Source organism: Homo sapiens, chromosome 8 (assembly GCF_000001405.40).
Source record: "Homo sapiens chromosome 8, GRCh38.p14 Primary Assembly".
Taxonomy (NCBI): domain Eukaryota; kingdom Metazoa; phylum Chordata; class Mammalia; order Primates; family Hominidae; genus Homo; species Homo sapiens.
Genome location: NC_000008.11, coordinates 41,185,673 through 41,202,990, shown reverse-complemented (window position 1 = coordinate 41,202,990; position 17,318 = coordinate 41,185,673). Strand labels below are relative to the sequence as shown.

Here is a 17,318-nt window from a genome sequence, read left to right as displayed (position 1 = left end):
TGTCTGTGTGTGTTAGTGTGTGTGCATATGTGTGCATTCTGTGCATGTGTGCATGTGTGGGCTTGCATGTGTGCATGTATGCAAATGTGTTTGTGTGTCCGTGTGTCTGTGTGTGTCCGTATGTGTGTTTGTGTGTGTATGTGTGTGTTTTGGGTGGGGGATCATCCTTAGAAGACATGCCCACTAACCTTATGTTCATGTCTTCTGCATTTGTAGGAAATCGGGAATAAATAAAGCCCTGAGAAGATTACTAGCCAACTTGAGCCACTGTGGCAGAACAGGAGAAAGGCTTCCAGATTCTTTGTTAAGTGTGACACTGCCAGAATGGGTAGGCTGGCTTCCCCCAAAAGCCCCCTGTTTGACCCAGGCCTGCTCCCAGGCTGATTCCTCTCTGCCCTTTCCCTGGACTGATTGGAGACATGTAAGAAATTAACCTCCTACAAATTAGCAGCAGAGAACCTTCTAGAGCAAAGAAGGGCCAGCAAATGCTGTGCGCTGTGATGCTGCCAAGGTCTGGATCTCCACCACCCACATTCTCGTCACTCTGGTCATCACTCCATTGCTGTGGGCCTGGCCCTCCACTGCCTCTGTCTCTCCCTTTTGCTCCTCTTTGTGATGCCCTGGGAGGGGCTTGGCGGGGGCACCTCATGGCGCTTCATGGAAATGCAGGGTGCTGCTGAAGGTGGGGACTCTGGAGCACACAGATTGGAGTCCCCAAGTCCCCACTGTGGTTCTGCCACTCCCTCTGTGCCCTTCATCTCTCTCAGCATCAGTCTACCCCTGGTGAGAATGCCTGCCTCCTGGGGTTGTTCTGAGGCTCACATGAGCTACTTGGAACTCAGGTGAGGCTGTTCGGTCCCAGCGCTGGTTTGCCTGTTGGGCATCTCGGAGGGTGAGGTCCTGAGCCAGGTGTGCCCTGGGACCCTCTTAGACCTGGCCTAGCATCTCAGGACATGAGTATCAGAGTCAAACCTGACTATCGAGATGAACAAATAGACCCAGTTCCTTTCCTCTGAATGTCTGTTGATTGGTTCTCCATCTTGGAAAGCGTACTTTTATTTCAAGTAACAGCTTCATTCAGATGATGCCTAGCATCCTCATAGCCCTGTGACCAGAAGATGGAAGAACGACAAATCCTCTCCCACCCACAGAACGTGTTTACACTTTCTTTTCCATTTCATATTCTGCCCTCTCAGTCATCCTAAATGTTTATTTAACAATGCTCCAAGACCTTTTAAGCTCCCTTGGTTGAATGTTTACTAAACGCCCTGTCACTTCCACTTCTACTGATAATTTCCTGCTTGCTGCAGAGTGGCCCATGCTGACGCACGGTTTGGAAACTCTTAATAGAATGACTCAGGCTCAGTCCCCTCCATGATGGGCTCCCCACAAGCATGTGGGCAGCCCATGAGGTCAGTGTGCTCCCTGGGGAATAGAAAATGAAGAAAATGGAGAGGGACTGTATGTTGGGAAGTCACTTGAAATTCAGGAGCTTCTAAGAATTTTAGCCAAAAGTTTCAAATGAATGGTGATGACTGTCAGAATCCCAGGCAACAGCAATGTGGGTCAACCCTTGGCTTGGCCCAAGGTCTTGCCCAGGGCTTCCTCATCATGGAGAGGGAGCGAGGGCATGACAAGATGCCAGGTGGTGGTTCAGCCTGGTTCCTGGCACTTGAACCAGAGAATGCCAGGGAACATAGGCTGTCCCTCTCCAGGCCACAGGCTGCATTTTCAACTGAACTCATCCTCTGTGTGATCTCCTTTTGTTGCTGGGGGCCATAGATAGACAGCTACACAAAGACGGACTTCCAGGTGTTGGACAGGACTGCTACGTGTGGTTGTTGCAGGTTGTGTACTGAGCAATCTAGGGGGTAACAGTCATTTACAGTCTAAGTGAATGACACTCTCCTGAGTTGTCCGGGGACACAGATTAGAAATAGACCCAGAAACAAGTTGGGTGACTCAGTGTCATAGAACCAGGGCAAGGCTGAAGGCAATATATACAAAGGTCATGAGCTTTCAAGCAGGAACATTCACACTATACCAGCTCCCACCCTGCTCCACTCCATCCTGCCCCAGTGCAGCAATTCTGGAGTGGAAAGTGGCTTAGACTCTTGGAGCACTAAGTCTGGAGTCTGTTATTCAGGGCTTTCTCCCCTTCAGTGCAAACGATCTAGTGGAAGTCATAAAACCATGAATCATGGCTTCATCAGGACTTGAAGTTCCTCTAATAAGGATAGCAAATGGCAAGAATAGAGTATTTCAGAGCAAAGGGGGAACAATGTCTGCTGGAGTGTTTAGGGAGCACTCTTGGAAGAGCTGGGTCTTTAGGTGCTGCTTGGAGAATGGCTTGGATTCGATGGGTGTAGGGGAGAGGGGAGCAGCATTTGTGCATGTGATGGATGGGGGTGAGGGCCAGAAGGACAGGGAGATGTGAGCACTGGCCTAGACTGGGAAGTGGACAGGGCTGAGGAAGCGTGCTCACCAAGGCTGTGTCCACACCAAGGGATGGGAGACACATTGGGGTAGTCCAGTGGGGCCAGATTTGAGAAGCTTTGACTGGGCTTGGGGGAGTTGGAATCTATTCTGCTGAAAAGCCACAGAAGCCTTTATTTTCAGAGACAGGGTCTTAGTAAAGATTTGTGCTCAGACTGGAGGCAGTGGTGCAATCATAGCTTACTGCAGCCTTGAACTCAGGGCTCAAGCGATTCTCCAGCCTTAGCCTCCCGAGTAGTTGGGACTACAGACACATACCACCGTGCCTGGCTAATTTTTTATTTTTTGTAGAGGCGAAGTCTCACTATATTGTCCAGGCTGTTCTCGATCTCCTGTTCTCAAGCAATCCTCTTGCCTCTGTCTCCCAAAGTGCTGGGAACATGAGCTGTGTTGCCTGGCCCTTCTGAGTGAGATGCAGTTATGAACTGAGAAGGGAGTTGCAGAGGAGAGTCAGCAATTCTTTGCTTGGGCCCCCATATCTGCTCTTTCCTCTACCAAGCTCTTTTCCTTTTGGACCAGGATAGCTCCATCTACAAGGACAGAGGTGGCTATAGCCTTCTGGGGGCACATCCAAGTCTCCAACAATGACCAGTGCTAGAGGTGAAAGAGGAAAAATGACTTCTGCCACCTCTCGTTGCTGCTAGCTGGCTGCTTCAGAATGGCTGGCAAATCCTGGCCTTTCCTGTGCTCTGCAAAGGCCTTCCCTGACCACTGCAAGGTGGGGAACCCAGGTAGGAAGAACCTAAATGAACTCCAGGAGGAAGAGCCCAGGTAAACAAGGGCTGCTGCCACACTGCCATCCCTTGGGGTGTCAGTGTCCAGGGGCATGTTCAGAAGTTGCCATTTGAGACACATGGACCAGAGAAATTAAGTATTAGAGGTGATGTTACATGAGATGGCTGCAGACATGTGTCACTTCAGCCCCAAAGACCTCTGCTAGTTTTTCAGGGCTCTTCTGGGAACTGACTGACCCCAGGGCTGCCTTCTGCTTTGAGCCTTGCTGTCAAGCTCTGATTCTCAATCTGAGAGCAGACTGATGATGGACAAGCACGATGAGCTGCTCCTATCAGCCTGTCAAGGAGCAAAGCCATCTGCTCTCTGTTAGGGCTCTGGAGGCTGAGCAGCAGATTGACAGGCTGACTTTCTAAGCCAATGGGAAAACTCCATTGATTTGTAACTTTCCTGGAAACAATCACTCATCACCTGATCAGCCTGGAGAGCTCTTCAGCCCCTACTGATCTTGGGTAGTGACTGTCATCTGGTGGACCCAGAGTCTGCAAAACCAGAGCAGAAAACCTGTTTCTACTCCAGCAGCTCCAAGTTCTGACTTGGCAGGCTCATTCTAAAGCTAATACAGGCCTGGTGCCATGGCTCACAGCTATAATCCCAATAATTTGGGAGGCCAAGGTGGGAAGATGACTTGAAGCCATGTATTAGTCCATTCTCATACTTCTTTAAAGACATACCTGAGACTGGATAATTTATAAAGAAAACAGGTTTGATCGGCTCATAGTTTTGCAGGCCTACCTAGGGAAGCCTCAGGAAACTTACAATCATGATGGAAGGTGAAGGGTAAGCAAGCACATATATTTACATGGCCAGCAGGAGAGAGAGAGAGAGAGAGAGAGAGAGAAGCGGGAGGTGCTACACACTTCCAAATAAGCAGATTTCATGAGAACTCTATTACGTGATTTGGGTGGAGACACAGAGCCAAACCATATCAGGCCAGGAGTTCCAGACCAGCCAGGGCAACATAGAAAAACCCTGTCTCTACAAAAAATAAAATAAAATAAATTAGATGGGCATGGTGGTGCACACCTTTAGTCCCTGCTACTTGGGAGGCTGAGGCGGGAGAATCACTTGAGCCCAAGAGTTTGAGGCTGCAGTGAGCTATGATCACACCAGTGTACTCCAGCCTTGTCTCTTAAACTTGACGAGGATCAGAATAATAGAGAGGCAGGCAAGCAGTGCCAATCACATTGTTTCATGTGCCTTTGCATGCAGCAGGGGTCCTTGGTGAAGCTGAGATGCAGTGCCATTTCAGAGCGAGGAAGGGAGCTCCAAGCTGCCATCTATCATGTGTGAGAGTGACTGAGCCTCTGTTGTGTGCAGAAGGTTCTAAAAGGGAGTTCTCTAGTCTCCTTGGCTTAGGAACCTCTAACCTTTTATGTTCCCTGGAGAATGGTATTTAAATTTCTCCCTTGATAAAACCCAACCAGATCATGGGGCAATTAGCAAATCTCCTTTTTTTCACCCAAGGGGTTGAGTCATTGTATCAGAGTCATGGACTGTCAGAGCTGGAATGAATCTTGGATCACCTGGTGACTTACCCCCAGGGCCCTTACCTGAAGTCACTGAGGCCCAGGGGGTGGAGAGATGCGTTCAAAGTCATGTCACTGGTGAATGTGCAGCTAAACTTAGGAGCCTGATCTCCCAACTACCGGTCCAGCCTTCTCTCCACTCCACCAACTGCCTTTCACTGTCTGGATGTTTCAGTCTCAATCAGGGCTGGTAGAGAGGTGGGGATTCCACCTCTGGCACTGGCAAAGACCTCCCCTGTACTCACACACACACACACACACACGCACACACAATCACACACACACACATTTGCGCACACACAATCACACACACAGCTAATTTTGATGGGAGGTAGAAATGAAAACAGAAATTCTCTGGCAGAAACCCGGCTCCAGCCCTGGCCTATTAAACCAGAACATCTCCCGGTAGGGCCTGGTTGTATGTATGCTTTAAAAGCAGCACTGGTGATTCTAAAGTGCAGCCAGCCTGGAGACCACGTTTCCGGGAAGGCTCTCCGAAGGCTACACAGACTGCAGTATTGATCTGGTGAGGGAAAGGGGCAATGGTGGCTTTTACAGGGTGGCTCAAGAGGAAAGTGTCTGCTTTCCAATTCTTTTGTAGGGGGACAGCTGATAACAGGGAAAGAGCAGGTGGGAGTAGGCCAGACCAGATGCCATGAGGATGCAAGCTCTTTGAGGACCAGAAGTCCCTCTAGGCCCAGTGTATTCTCAGCCTCTGTGACTATTTATTTATTTATTCAATTTATTTTTTTGAGACAGGGTCTCGCTCTGTTGCCAGGCTGGAGCACAGTGGTATGATCACTGCAGCCACAACCTCCTAGGGCTCAAGCGATCCTCTTGCCTCAGCCTCTCAGCATCTGTGATTATTTATTGACTGATTGAATGAATACATGGTGGTGCTGGAGCTGTGCCTGCTCTTCAGCCGGCTTTATGGATGATTCCCATTCAATCCCAGTTGATTGAGATGAATTCAATTGATGCCCGTGGAGCCTCTGCCAAATGCAGTACAGGTGTCCAGGCCCATGCCCCACTCAGGGGAGCTGAGAGCCCTGGCTCAAATCCCCCAACTTTGGAAAGAAAAAGGTCTTATACAGCCAGGGCTGAGGAAGATTAGAGAATCAGCTCCCAAAATGTGACAAAAGCAAACCTAAGTCTTAGCTGCTCCTCAAATGGCTTTCTTAGGAAGGAAACCTTCTTGTAGGTCTGATGTGGGTGCATGCGTGCGCGCATGTGTATGTGTGTGTGTGTGTGTTTGGCAAAGTAGTATCTTAAGCAGTCTTGGAACTCTCATTCCCTTTTTTTGGCCTTTTACTGCTGATTAGTATTTTCAGAGTGGTGATCTCATCATTGGAAATGAATCGCTCTGTGGAACAAGAAGGTGACAGTGGCCAGAAATCAATCAACTGATAAATCAGTCAATTCATCGGAGGTGTCTCACTCATATTTGCTTGAGGCAGAGAAAACAAGAAAGTACTTAAGTTCTCAGATAGTTGACTCACTGAAATGGAAGGAATTCATCACGAAAGAATGCAAGCCCCTGGGTTAGTGTGGCTTAGAAGGGAGGTAAGGAGCACATCCAGCCTTCACAATAGCTGAGCTCAGAAATGTTAAGGAACTTTAGTGAAAATGATAAACGCCTTGGGCTCAGGGCAGTGGAAGGAGGGCTGACATGAACTTTGAGTACAGAGGAGTGAGAACCAAGTTCCAGCGGACCTCATGTCTATATCTGGGGTTAAAAAGTTTAGGCAAAAGGGAGACTGAGAGCTGAAGAAGAAAATTGTCTTCTTTTTAAGAATTGTAATTAATTGCATTTTTAATTCAATAAATTGAATTTTTAAGAATTGTAAATAATTATGATTTCTAAAATAGAAAAAATTGCGGCTGCCTGAATTAACTACCTCCCTATGTGCCTAATTAGTTTAGTGTCTTTCTGAAAGGCCCAAAGTCCCACTGAGAGTCTGGGGAACCCCTTTGCAAGGACACCATGCGGTGAGCCTTACAAATCTGGCCACAGGCAAGTCCTCTGGCCCAAGGTCACAGGGTTCCTCTATGGGTGGTCTTGCCCTGCTTCGGAGCTGAAGTGCCTTCTCCCCATCAGACCTGCGAAATTCTCCCTGCAGGCACGGGCCACACCTCTCCCTTCCGTTTCGGAGCTGCCTGGCAGAGCTCTGGCTCTGTCATGGCCTCAATCAAATCGTCCCTGACGTTTGTATAATCCCTTTATAATTTACAAAGTGCTGATCCTGCACTGTCTCTTAAGCATCTCATAGCAGCCCTGAGCAAAAAGGCATGTGTTAATTAAGCTGAGTCCTCAAACGTTTATGGAGATGTGGTTGCGTGTGTGCCAGGTGCCGCCCCCCAAGACAGCACGATGAGTGATTTCCTTTGGGAACAAGGCAGTAAGCTCGAGGAGAGCAGGCCCTGATGGTTTGTTCTTGAGTATCTGCACAGTGCCCAGCAGAGTGCCTGGCATACAGTAGGTGCTCAATGAATGCATGAAGGAAGGAGATCGGCCAGGCAAGTGTTTTTGTTTTCCTTGTTCAGATGAGGACCCAAGGACAGAGGTATTCCTGGGGATGCAGGCTTGAGGGTCTTGCTTGTGGGCAGCCAGGGCAGGGGGCCCAGTCCTTCCTGCCTCCACGCCCCAGTCCCTCCCCTCTCCTCCTGCTGGCAGCCCCTCAGAAGGATGAGCCTGGGTGGCGTGGCTGCAGGAAGCACCACTGTCTCCTGGGAGCAGCTCCAGGGCAGCGGGGCAGAGGCTGGTGTGTGCAGGGGCCAATGCAGAATGTGCTCAGGTGGCTTCTGGGAACTCTGAGCCTCTTCCTGGACCACCCTGGCTGAGGGAGCACATCCAGGCTGGGGCTTCCCGGGGGTAGTAGCTGTTTGGTTGGCCCAGAGCCACCTGGGCTTGCTTTCCCCTGATAAAGCAGCCTCAGTAGGGGTGGGGAAGGGGCTGCGCTGTCCACCCTACTGGCTCCCAGGCTCGGGAGCCACTCAGGAGAGAAGAGAGGAAGCATTTCGGAAGGCGGGCATCATCATGGGACCATAAATTGACCAGGCATGGAGCTCTTTCCCATGGACATCTTTGTGTAGGCTCTTGGCCCCGGGGCTGGCTGCAGAGCTGCGGGGCCCAGCAGGCTGTCTGTGTGAAGCTCTGCAGAGCAGTCTTGCAGGGAAAGACTGTGGAGACTAATGGAGATGTGCCAGCAGATGGGTGGTGGGCCTGGCCCCGGCCGGGGTCCTTGATGACACAACCCAGGCTGGAAGTGTGGGCTGGCTCCCGCCCCGCAGAGGAGCGCGGCGTGGGCTCCTCTAAGGAGGGAGTTCTTGAGGCTCCTCTTGACTCACTCCAGGAGTAATGTCCAGGTGAGGACTGATGAGACAGGGAGTGGCAATTAAAGAAGGGTCCAGGCACTCACCCCCTCCTGCTGGGATGGCTGGAGAAGAGAGGACAGACAGAGCAGAGTGATGGACATGCTGAGCTGTGGAACAGACAGCCAGTCCCTGGAGGGGCTACAGTGGGCCTCACCTACACAGAAAAGAGCCATGGACCGGGAGGCAGAGGCAGAGGTTAGAATCCTCACTTACTATTTATTTTGGAGACAGGGTCTTGCTGTGTCACCCAGGCTGGAGTGCAGGGCGCAATCACAGCTCACTGCAGCCTAAACCTCCCAGGCTCAACCAATCCTATCTCAACCTCCTGAGTAGCTGGGACCACAGGTGCCTGCCACCCCACCTGGCTAATTTTAAAATTTTTAAATATTTTTGAATAGAGTTGGGGTCTTGCTATGTTGCTGAGGCTGGTCTTAAACTTCCAGCCTCCAGGAATTCTCCAGTTTCGGCTCTCAAAGTGCTAGGATTATAGATGTGAGCCACTGTGCCTGGCAGAATCCTTACTCTTTAGCCAGGCATGGTGGTGCATACCTGTAGTCTTAGCTACTCAGGAGGCTGAGGCTGGAGGATTGCTTGCTGCCAGGAGTTCAAGGCTGCAGTAAGCTATGATCACACCATTGCACTCCATCTTGGGTGACAGAGTGAGACCCCCCTCTCTAAAAACATAGCATTAAAAATAAATGAAATATTTGTCTTGTCACTCTTGGGCTGTTTAACATGAAGCAGCTTTCTGAATCCCTCTGTACTGCAGCTCTCCCACCCACGTGGAGGCTTCAAGAACTACCGTGACTTCCTACTTCGCGGTCCTTTGGCTGTGAGGATCAAATGCGATTGTGCAAGTACAAAGAACCTGACAAACTGAAAAATGTGGTGTGACCCTAAGTGCTTCTACCCAAGGCTGGCAGGCAGTGTGCGGGCCAGGGGTATTGATTGCTTTAGTACAGTCAAGGTCAGTGCTATCTGGGGCCTAGAATATGTCTTATGTCCTCTTAAGAGTGTTTCTTGGTGATCACCTCCTTCCTCCTTCCCATATGTCACACCCAACACTCTCATCTCTGTGGCTGCAGCTCTCCCCTGAACCCCATGCCACTCTGGGCTCCAGAGACAGTCGACCTGCCCCACCAATTCCTGGTGTGTGACTTCAGAGTGCACTGACCCCTGCTGGCTTGGCTTTCTCTTCTCACGGTTGAGGACATTTATAATGCTGCCAGCTTGGGCTTGAGAGGATTTAAGTGAGATGCTATATGAGAAACTTACCATACAAAGGTAAGTTTTTAATCACTGCTCTTGCCAATTACTCATCTTCAAAGCCAGCGTGGGATTGGCAGTGTGATCACTTCTTTGAACCCCACTCCAGACTGTGGTGGAAGGTGATTTTCTCTCCGCATCTATCTATCGTGTTCCTTTCCTTTTATCCTAGGTGAGCCCAGGGGCACAGTATGAGGACCTCGTGGTTTTAGAACTCAGAGTTAGGGGATGAGGTAGAGGGTTTCCCCTGGTTTCTGGGGCCCTCCAGCTTCTCGGGATTATCTTGCAATGCAGCCTCCACAGTACGCACAGGAGCCCCAGTGCTCAGCAGGGCTCAGCGGACTGACTCCTTAAAGAGGCCTGAACGACAGACACTTCCCAGGGAAAATAAGCCAAACCGGGAGGTTGCCCTTCTGCGACCTCCTGGGGCCTGAGAGAGTGAGCTGCTATGGAACTGTTTCCTGCTGTTCACTGACATTTTTCCTGAAGGCCCCTGATGCTAAGGAGGAAACTCTCAAAAGAAAACAAGGAACATGAGAAATATGAGAAAGCCAGTGGTCTAGATTACGGATCTGTCTCTTGGAAACGATGTGAACCTCTGGCAGGCGATGTTCAGAGACAGGGAGGTATGCGGTGCTGTAAAAACACCTGTTGCTGTTGTGTCTGTGGGTGATGATGGAGAAATCTTGAGTGTGAAATAATTGACCCACCAGAGCATGTGTCCTAGCAGGAGGATGCAGAATTGCACAGCTCTTCCCACCTGCAGTGAAGGGGGATGGGTAGATTTTAAAAAAACGATTGTGCGTTTCTCTTTTGCTTTGCTGAAGAGACCTGTACACTAGTTCTGTGCTACCCAGAGTAGTAGCCACTAGCACATGTGGCTAATTTCATGTAAGTTACCTGAAATGAAATACATGAAAAAGTCCATTCCTCTAGCCGACAAGCCATGTTTCAAGTCCTCAGTGGCCACATACAGCTAGCGTGGGGATGGCACAGAGGGTATTTCCACCATTGCAGAAAGTTCTTTTGGACAGCAATGCTTTCATGTGCCCCAAACATTCTTGTTTGCGAGTGGGAGGGAATGAGAAAAGTTATTTAAGAAATGCAAAGAGAGAGAAAAGCTTCGTATGCAGCCCTTGACATTCAGAATCTGATCCTTCAGCAATAAGAGAGCTATGCGTGCCAGGCTATTGTCTTCAAAACCCATTTCCACATCTCTGTCGCTCCCCCTTTAACATTTCAGCAATGGAGCCTGGGTGACTCTTCTCAAAGACTTCTTCCATAGCATAGAGGAGAGTCTCTTGGCTTGGCTGGAGCCCGGGAGAAAGAGGGAGTGAGGCAAGAGAAGCAAAGGACAAGTTGGAGCCCCTTTCAGCCTGGGAAACATAAGGACCAGGAAGGAGAGGGGCTCGGCTGGCAAGCGGCTGGGCCTGGGTCTGCTGTATTGTTCCTTCCAGGCTTAGGCTGGTGATATGGTTTGGCTGTGCCCCCACCCAAATATCATCTTGAATTATAGTTCTCATAATCCCATGTGTCACAGGAGGGACCCGACAGGAAGTGATGGGATCCTGGGGGCAGTTTCCCCCATGCTTTTCTCGTGATGGTGAGTGAGTTCTCACAAAATCTGACGGTTTTATAAGCATCTGTCATTTCTCCTGCTGGCACTTTTCTCTCCTGCCAGCTTGTGAAGAAGGACATGTTTGCTTCTCCTTCTGCCCTTCTGTTTCCTGAGACCTGCCTAGCCATGTGGAACTGTGAGTCAATTAAACCTCTTTTCTTTATAAATTACCCAGTCTCAGGTATTTCCTCATAGCAGCGTGAGAACAGACTAATACAGCTGGTGAGGGGCATGGGTGCAGGCAAGGTGAAGGCCACATAGAAAGCAGAGCCTGCCACACACCAGCCTGGGAATGGCCACATCAACCTGTGGCACTAGGTGGCCCTGGGAAGCCAGGGTCTTGCCTTCTCCAGCTGCCTTGGTCACTATGTTAGTTGAACACTGAGCCAGCAGCCAGGGGCCTGCCATGGTGTCCATCATGGCATGTTAGAGGTGACCCATTGCAGAGGCTAGAACTTTCAGGGCAGTGAACTGGGTGGTGGGTGGTTGAAGACTCAGCATCTGTTGCTAGTGGCAGTCAGTTGAGGCCAAGGCAGTCTGAAGTGGACACGAGATTATCACCAGGACAAGCAAGAGCAGTCTGGGGGAGACATACAGAGGCCTCACATAGAGTGAGAACAAAGTAGTCTGGATGCATTGGCTCATGCTTGTAATCTCAACATTTCAGAAGGCCGAGGTGGGAGAATTGCTTGAGGCCAGGAGTTTGAGACCAGCCTGGGCAACAGAGCCAGACCCCAACTTTACAAAAATAATAATACTAATAAAAATTAATAAAAAATAGAATAAGAGCAAAGCAAAAAATCTCTTGGGTGCTCAGAGAAACAGACCCAGCTGGGTGGTCATGGTGATCCCATGGTGATCAAAATAGACTGGGTAATTTATAAAGACAAGAGGTTTAACTCAGCTGCTGGTACAGCTTGATCTCCTGTGTCCTAGTCAGGAAGAAGTGGCGCTCAATGCCAGGCCTGCTGGATGAGTCCCCACATCTTTCTTGGGTGGTTTTGTATGTGCCCTAAGAGTCTCTCTATTGAAAGTGACAGAAACTCCAACTCAAATTAGTTAAAAAAAAAAAAAAAAAAACCAAGAAAAAGAGTTTACTCCTTCATGTAACTGAAAGTCCAATAATATATATATTTTTTCAGGTCCAGCTACAACTAGATCCAGAGCTAAACTGATGTCATCAAGTCTCAGTTTGAATGATCCTCTCAGCTCCACTGTTCTTCATCTTAACTTAATTCCAAAGTCATTCCACAGTGGTGATATAGCTGCCAGCAGCTACACAAACCCAAAGGCAACAGCCCACATCCTTCTCCCAGAAGTCCCATAAAGAGTCTCACTGCTTTTCATTGGTTCTGATTGTGGCCGACACTCACCCTTCATCCAATCTCTGTGGCCAGGAGAATCCAGCGCTCTGATTGGTCAGGCCTGGCTCCATGGCCACCTGAAGTCCGGGGTGGAGTTAACTCCACCTGCAACACATGGACTGATGGAAAAGGGAAAAAGATCTGGAAATCCAAAAAGCTTGGAGAGCAAATTGCATTTGGTTTCTATTACACAGTGCAGCAGATTTAATTATTCTTGAAAAAATTTTTTATCTTCAAAGGGACTCAAGCTGAAGACCTCCTTTAGGTATGTCGTCGGTAGATACCTACCTCCAGTGGCTGGCTTGTTTTAGCCTCATGGTCAAGATGAGGAATCTCAGAGTGGACTGCAGCCCATGCTCTTTTCCAGAGCGTGTCAGAGGACAGGCTGTCACGAAGGCAGGCTTCACAGTGCCGGTTTCCTGAGACCACGGGAAATGTGGCTGAAGGGGTCATTGATGTCTAACCTCCTGTGTTATTCTGGGTGCAGTTCTAATGCCCAGACCATTGGTGTCCCCTGGAATGTGCCCTTGGGTCAGAGCAAACTTTAAGTTATTGTTAATGAGGTTGTGCATATTTGCATAAACTTTCAAGGTGAAATATTTCAGGGTTTTTCTTGTGGCTGGCATTTGTTTTTCTTTCTCTATCTTTTCACTTACCACAGTTGATTCAAACCCCTTAAGCCTGGAAAGGACATAGGAGCAAAGGGGGACCCCATAACTGGGGGGCATGCAATAATGGAGGCGTTGAGAGCAAGCCAGAGCTCTGGCCAAAGGTGGTCAGACAATGGTCCAGATCCCCGTTATTAAGCTTCCCCAGGCTTCATTTGTGGGAGTGGTGGCGGATTGAATATTCCCCCCCCCCCCCAGAATTCATATCTGCCTAGAACCTCAGAATGTGACATCATTTGGAAATAGAGTCTTTGCAGATATATTAGTTAAGATGAGATCATGCTAGATTAAGGGTGGGCCCTAAATCCAAAGGAGAGGAATCTCATTCTGTCTCCCAGGCTGGAGTGCAGTGGCAAGATGTCAGCTCGCTGCAACCTCCACCTCCCGGGTTTGACACACACACACAGGGGAAGAGGGCCTGTGAAGATGGAGGCAGAGAACGGAGTGACGCAGCGACAAGCCAAAGGGCACTGAGGATGGCCAGAAGCCGCCAGAGGCTGGAAAAGCAAGAGCAAAGTCTCCCTGGAGCCTGCGGAGAGCCTGGTTCTGCCGATACCGATACCGACTTCAGAGTCGTAGACTCCAGAACTGTGAGGGAATACAGTGCTGTTGCTTTAAGCCATAGCATTTGTATTCATTTGTTACAACAACCCTAGGAAACCAATCAGGGGCTCTTAAAGGAATCCAAGGCCTGAGGCAAAACATGGGTCAGAGAATGGAAATGTGGACACAGAAGTCCCCGTGGAAATGCCCTGATGAGACTTGTTTGAAGGATGAACTTCTGCTCCAAGATAATGTGGGCCTGTCCATGCCACATTCTTTATTAGGCCACCATATTGGCTCTGCAGTTTGCACCCCCAAGGGGAGAGAAGGGACCGGAATCCTGTCTATCTCTCTCCACTGAGCCAAATGTGCTGGTACAAAGCCTCATTCCCCTGGAGAAAAGGGTTTCCTTTTCTTGGCTTGAAGGTGCTAACTCTCCTGCCTGTTCCTTAAGCTGTGTGCTGGGGGAGTGAGGCTGTACAGAGGGGCCACCACCATCTAATTAACATGATGGGCCGGGCACAGTGGCTCATGCCTGTAATCCTAGCACTTTGGGAGGCCGAGGCGGGTGGATCACTTGAGGTCAGGAGTTCAAGACCAGCCTGGCCAACATGGTGAAACCCTGTCTCCACTAAAAATACAAAAATTAGCCGGGCGTGGTGGCATGTGCCTGTAATCCCAGCTACTCAGGAGGCTGAGGCAGGAGAATCACTTGAACCTGGGAGGCGGAGGTTGCAGTGAGCTGACATTGTGCCACTGCACTCCAGCCTGGGTGACAGAATGAGATTCCGTCTCAAAAAAAAAAAAAATTCACATGACAGTACCATAAAGACTAGCGGCCCTGATCCAGCTGCACACAGCCCTCACTCACATTGCCCAACCACAGAATCCCTCATTTCTTCCACAGGCACCCACACCCATTCCCCCACCCACACACACGCTTTCAATATTCAGCCTCTCCTCATTTTTCAATGGTTCCATATTTGCAAATTTGCCTACTTGCTAAAATTTATGTCTGCCCCCCAAATCCATACTCAGGACACACTCATGGTCATTTGCAGACATGTGCAGAGTGACAAAAAATTTGGGGTCTCTGGATGTGCATGTTTATATCTGAGATCAAACAAGGAAATGCTCTGCTCTCTTTTTTTCTTACTCTAAATAAGAGTCCTTTTCATAGTTTATGTAGTGCCATGTTTTTCGCATTTTTGTGCTTTTTGTTGGTGATTTTGCCATTTAAAATGGTCCCCAAGGGTAACACTGAAGTGCTATCTAGTGTTGCATAGCCTGAGAAGGATGCAATGCAACTTCCAGAGAAAATATGTGCGTTAGGTAAGCTCTGCTCAGGTGTGTCACACTGCAGGTGGCCATGAGTTCAATGTACTAATGAATCAGCAATACATATCATAGGAAGTGTCCTTAAACAGAAAGAGAAATAAAACTGTCAGAGGCGTTCAAACTAGAGTGACTCCATCTTGAATAGGGGCTTGGTAAAATAAGGCCGATGCCTGCTGGGCTGCATTCCTAGGTGTTTAGGCATTCTTAGTCACAGGATGAAACAGGAGGTCAACAGGACTGATATCACAAGATACAGGTCACAAAGACCCTGCCGATAAAACAGGAGGCCGTAAAGAAGCCAGTCAAAACCCATCAAAACCAAGATGGTGACAAAAGCGACCTCTGGTCATCCTCACTGTTCATTATATGCTAATTGTAATACATTAGCAGGCTGGGTGCAGTGGCTCACACCTGTAATCCCAGCACTTTGGGAAGTTGAGGCAGGTGGATAGCTTGAGCCCAGGAGTTTGAGACTAGCTTGGGCAACATGGCAAGACCCTGTCTCTACAAAAACTACAAAAATTAGCTGGGTGTGGTAGCACATGCCTGTTGTCCCAGCTACTAGGGAGGCTGAGATGAGAGGATCGTTTGATCCTGGGGGTCAGAGGTTGCAGTGAGCCAAAACTGCACCACTGCACTCTAACCTGGGTGACAGAGTGAGACCCTATCTCAAATAATAATAATAATAATAATAATAATAATAATAATAATAATAATAATAATAATACATTAGCATGCTAAAAGACACTCTCACCAGTGCCATGACAGCTTACAAATGCCAAGGCAAAGGCTGGAAGCTACCCTATATGGTCTAAAAGGGTGAGGGACCCTCAGTTATGGGAACTCCTCTCCCCTTCCTCGAAAACCCACGAATAATCCACCCCTTGTTTAGCATATAATCAAGAAATAACCATAAGTTTACTTAGTCGAGCAGCCTCTGCCACTGCTGTGGCTGTGGAGTAGACATTCTTCTGTTTCTTTACTTCTCTAATAAACTTGCTTTTGTTTTACTCTGTGGTCTCGCTCGAATTCTGTCTTGCGTGAGATCCAAGAACTCTCTCTTGGGGTCTGGATTGGGACCTCTTTCTTGTAAAAAAACAAGGTTATGAATCAATCAGTTGATGAAGATGTTGTGACCAGAGGCTCATAGGAGCATAACCCTCTATTTCCCCTAGGAGCAATGGTTCAGTATTCGCCATTCCAGCATTCCAGAAAGTTTATGGAACATCACTATATCCAATAATGAGAATTGCTTATATTTTTTCACCCAGGCCCGGTGAGGGGAATGGTGATGAAGTGATCGGTGTCCCTGCCCTCACCTGTCTCTCCCTATGTCACAAAATGTAGGATGTCCTGTAGAGAGGAGCTCTGGAAACTCTAGGTCTACACCTGTGAAGATTATTTCTCCCCTTTAGCAAACATCTTTAGAACACCCATGACATCAGGGAGGGCTATGCCATTGTGGGGCAGGATCTTCCCTGAGAATTATGAGACCATGAGCTCCTTTTCTGCAGTGTTTTATTCACTGGCTCCGAACAGTGTGAAAACAAAATAAAACAAATGAAAGCACAAACAAAGAAACATAAAACTATAAAAGCAAACCACTGCCTAATAACGGGCATCTCACAGGAAGCAACAGTTTGCTATTGGGCCAATTCAATGCCATCAATGCCAGTGGACATTTTGAGAGGAATCTCAGCATATAGGTAATAAAGCATTATAGATTAGACAAGGAAAAAAAAAGAAGTAATAAAGCAGTCCATTCACTTATCTCATAAATGTGTTTCTGTGTTACCTTTGTCCTTCCAATCTTCATTGAAAACAAAACAGCAAAAACAGAGAGAGAGAAAGACAAAGGGTGTCCCTGTTCACTCTAGTACGCTAGTCTAAGGGCTTCCCAGAACCAGTTAAAAAGTAGCTGTGCAAATTACAAGTCTTGAAAACACTGACACAGCTGAGCCAGTGTAAAGAAATACACAGTGAAACCTCATTCACTCACCCACCAGTAACTCAGAATTTGGGTAATTTGAAGAGGGTCAAGGCTGGTGTTTAACCTGGCAGTTACCTGAAGAAATTTAACCCAAAGACATTACTTACAATGCAAATTAATATTGGAAAATAATTTACTCAGAGGAAATGTTAAAAGTATGTAAGAGAACAAACTTTTAAAATTAGCCCCAGGCAACTGGGGGCCCATTAACACATATCTATGGTATGTTAGTGCCTTTTCCTGCAAAAGACTCTGTATTTTTCCAAGTTAAAACTGATGTTTGCCACTGAATAACCTTGGGTGAATTGCGTCAAACTCTTTGAGGTCTAGTGTTTTTTC

At 48.3% G+C, this 17,318-nt stretch overlaps 2 annotated features.

Moving 5' to 3' along the window:
- Window positions 6,974-7,493: an enhancer, noted in NCBI's record as "H3K4me1 hESC enhancer chr8:41053017-41053536 (GRCh37/hg19 assembly coordinates)". NCBI's record gives its function as "activates a minimal SCP1, AML or CMV promoter by ChIP-STARR-seq in naive H9 embryonic stem cells {active_cell/tissue: H9 hESC(naive)}" and the evidence as "EXISTENCE:reporter gene assay evidence [ECO:0000049][PMID:30033119]".
- Window positions 7,494-8,013: an enhancer, noted in NCBI's record as "H3K4me1 hESC enhancer chr8:41052497-41053016 (GRCh37/hg19 assembly coordinates)". NCBI's record gives its function as "activates a minimal SCP1, AML or CMV promoter by ChIP-STARR-seq in naive H9 embryonic stem cells {active_cell/tissue: H9 hESC(naive)}" and the evidence as "EXISTENCE:reporter gene assay evidence [ECO:0000049][PMID:30033119]".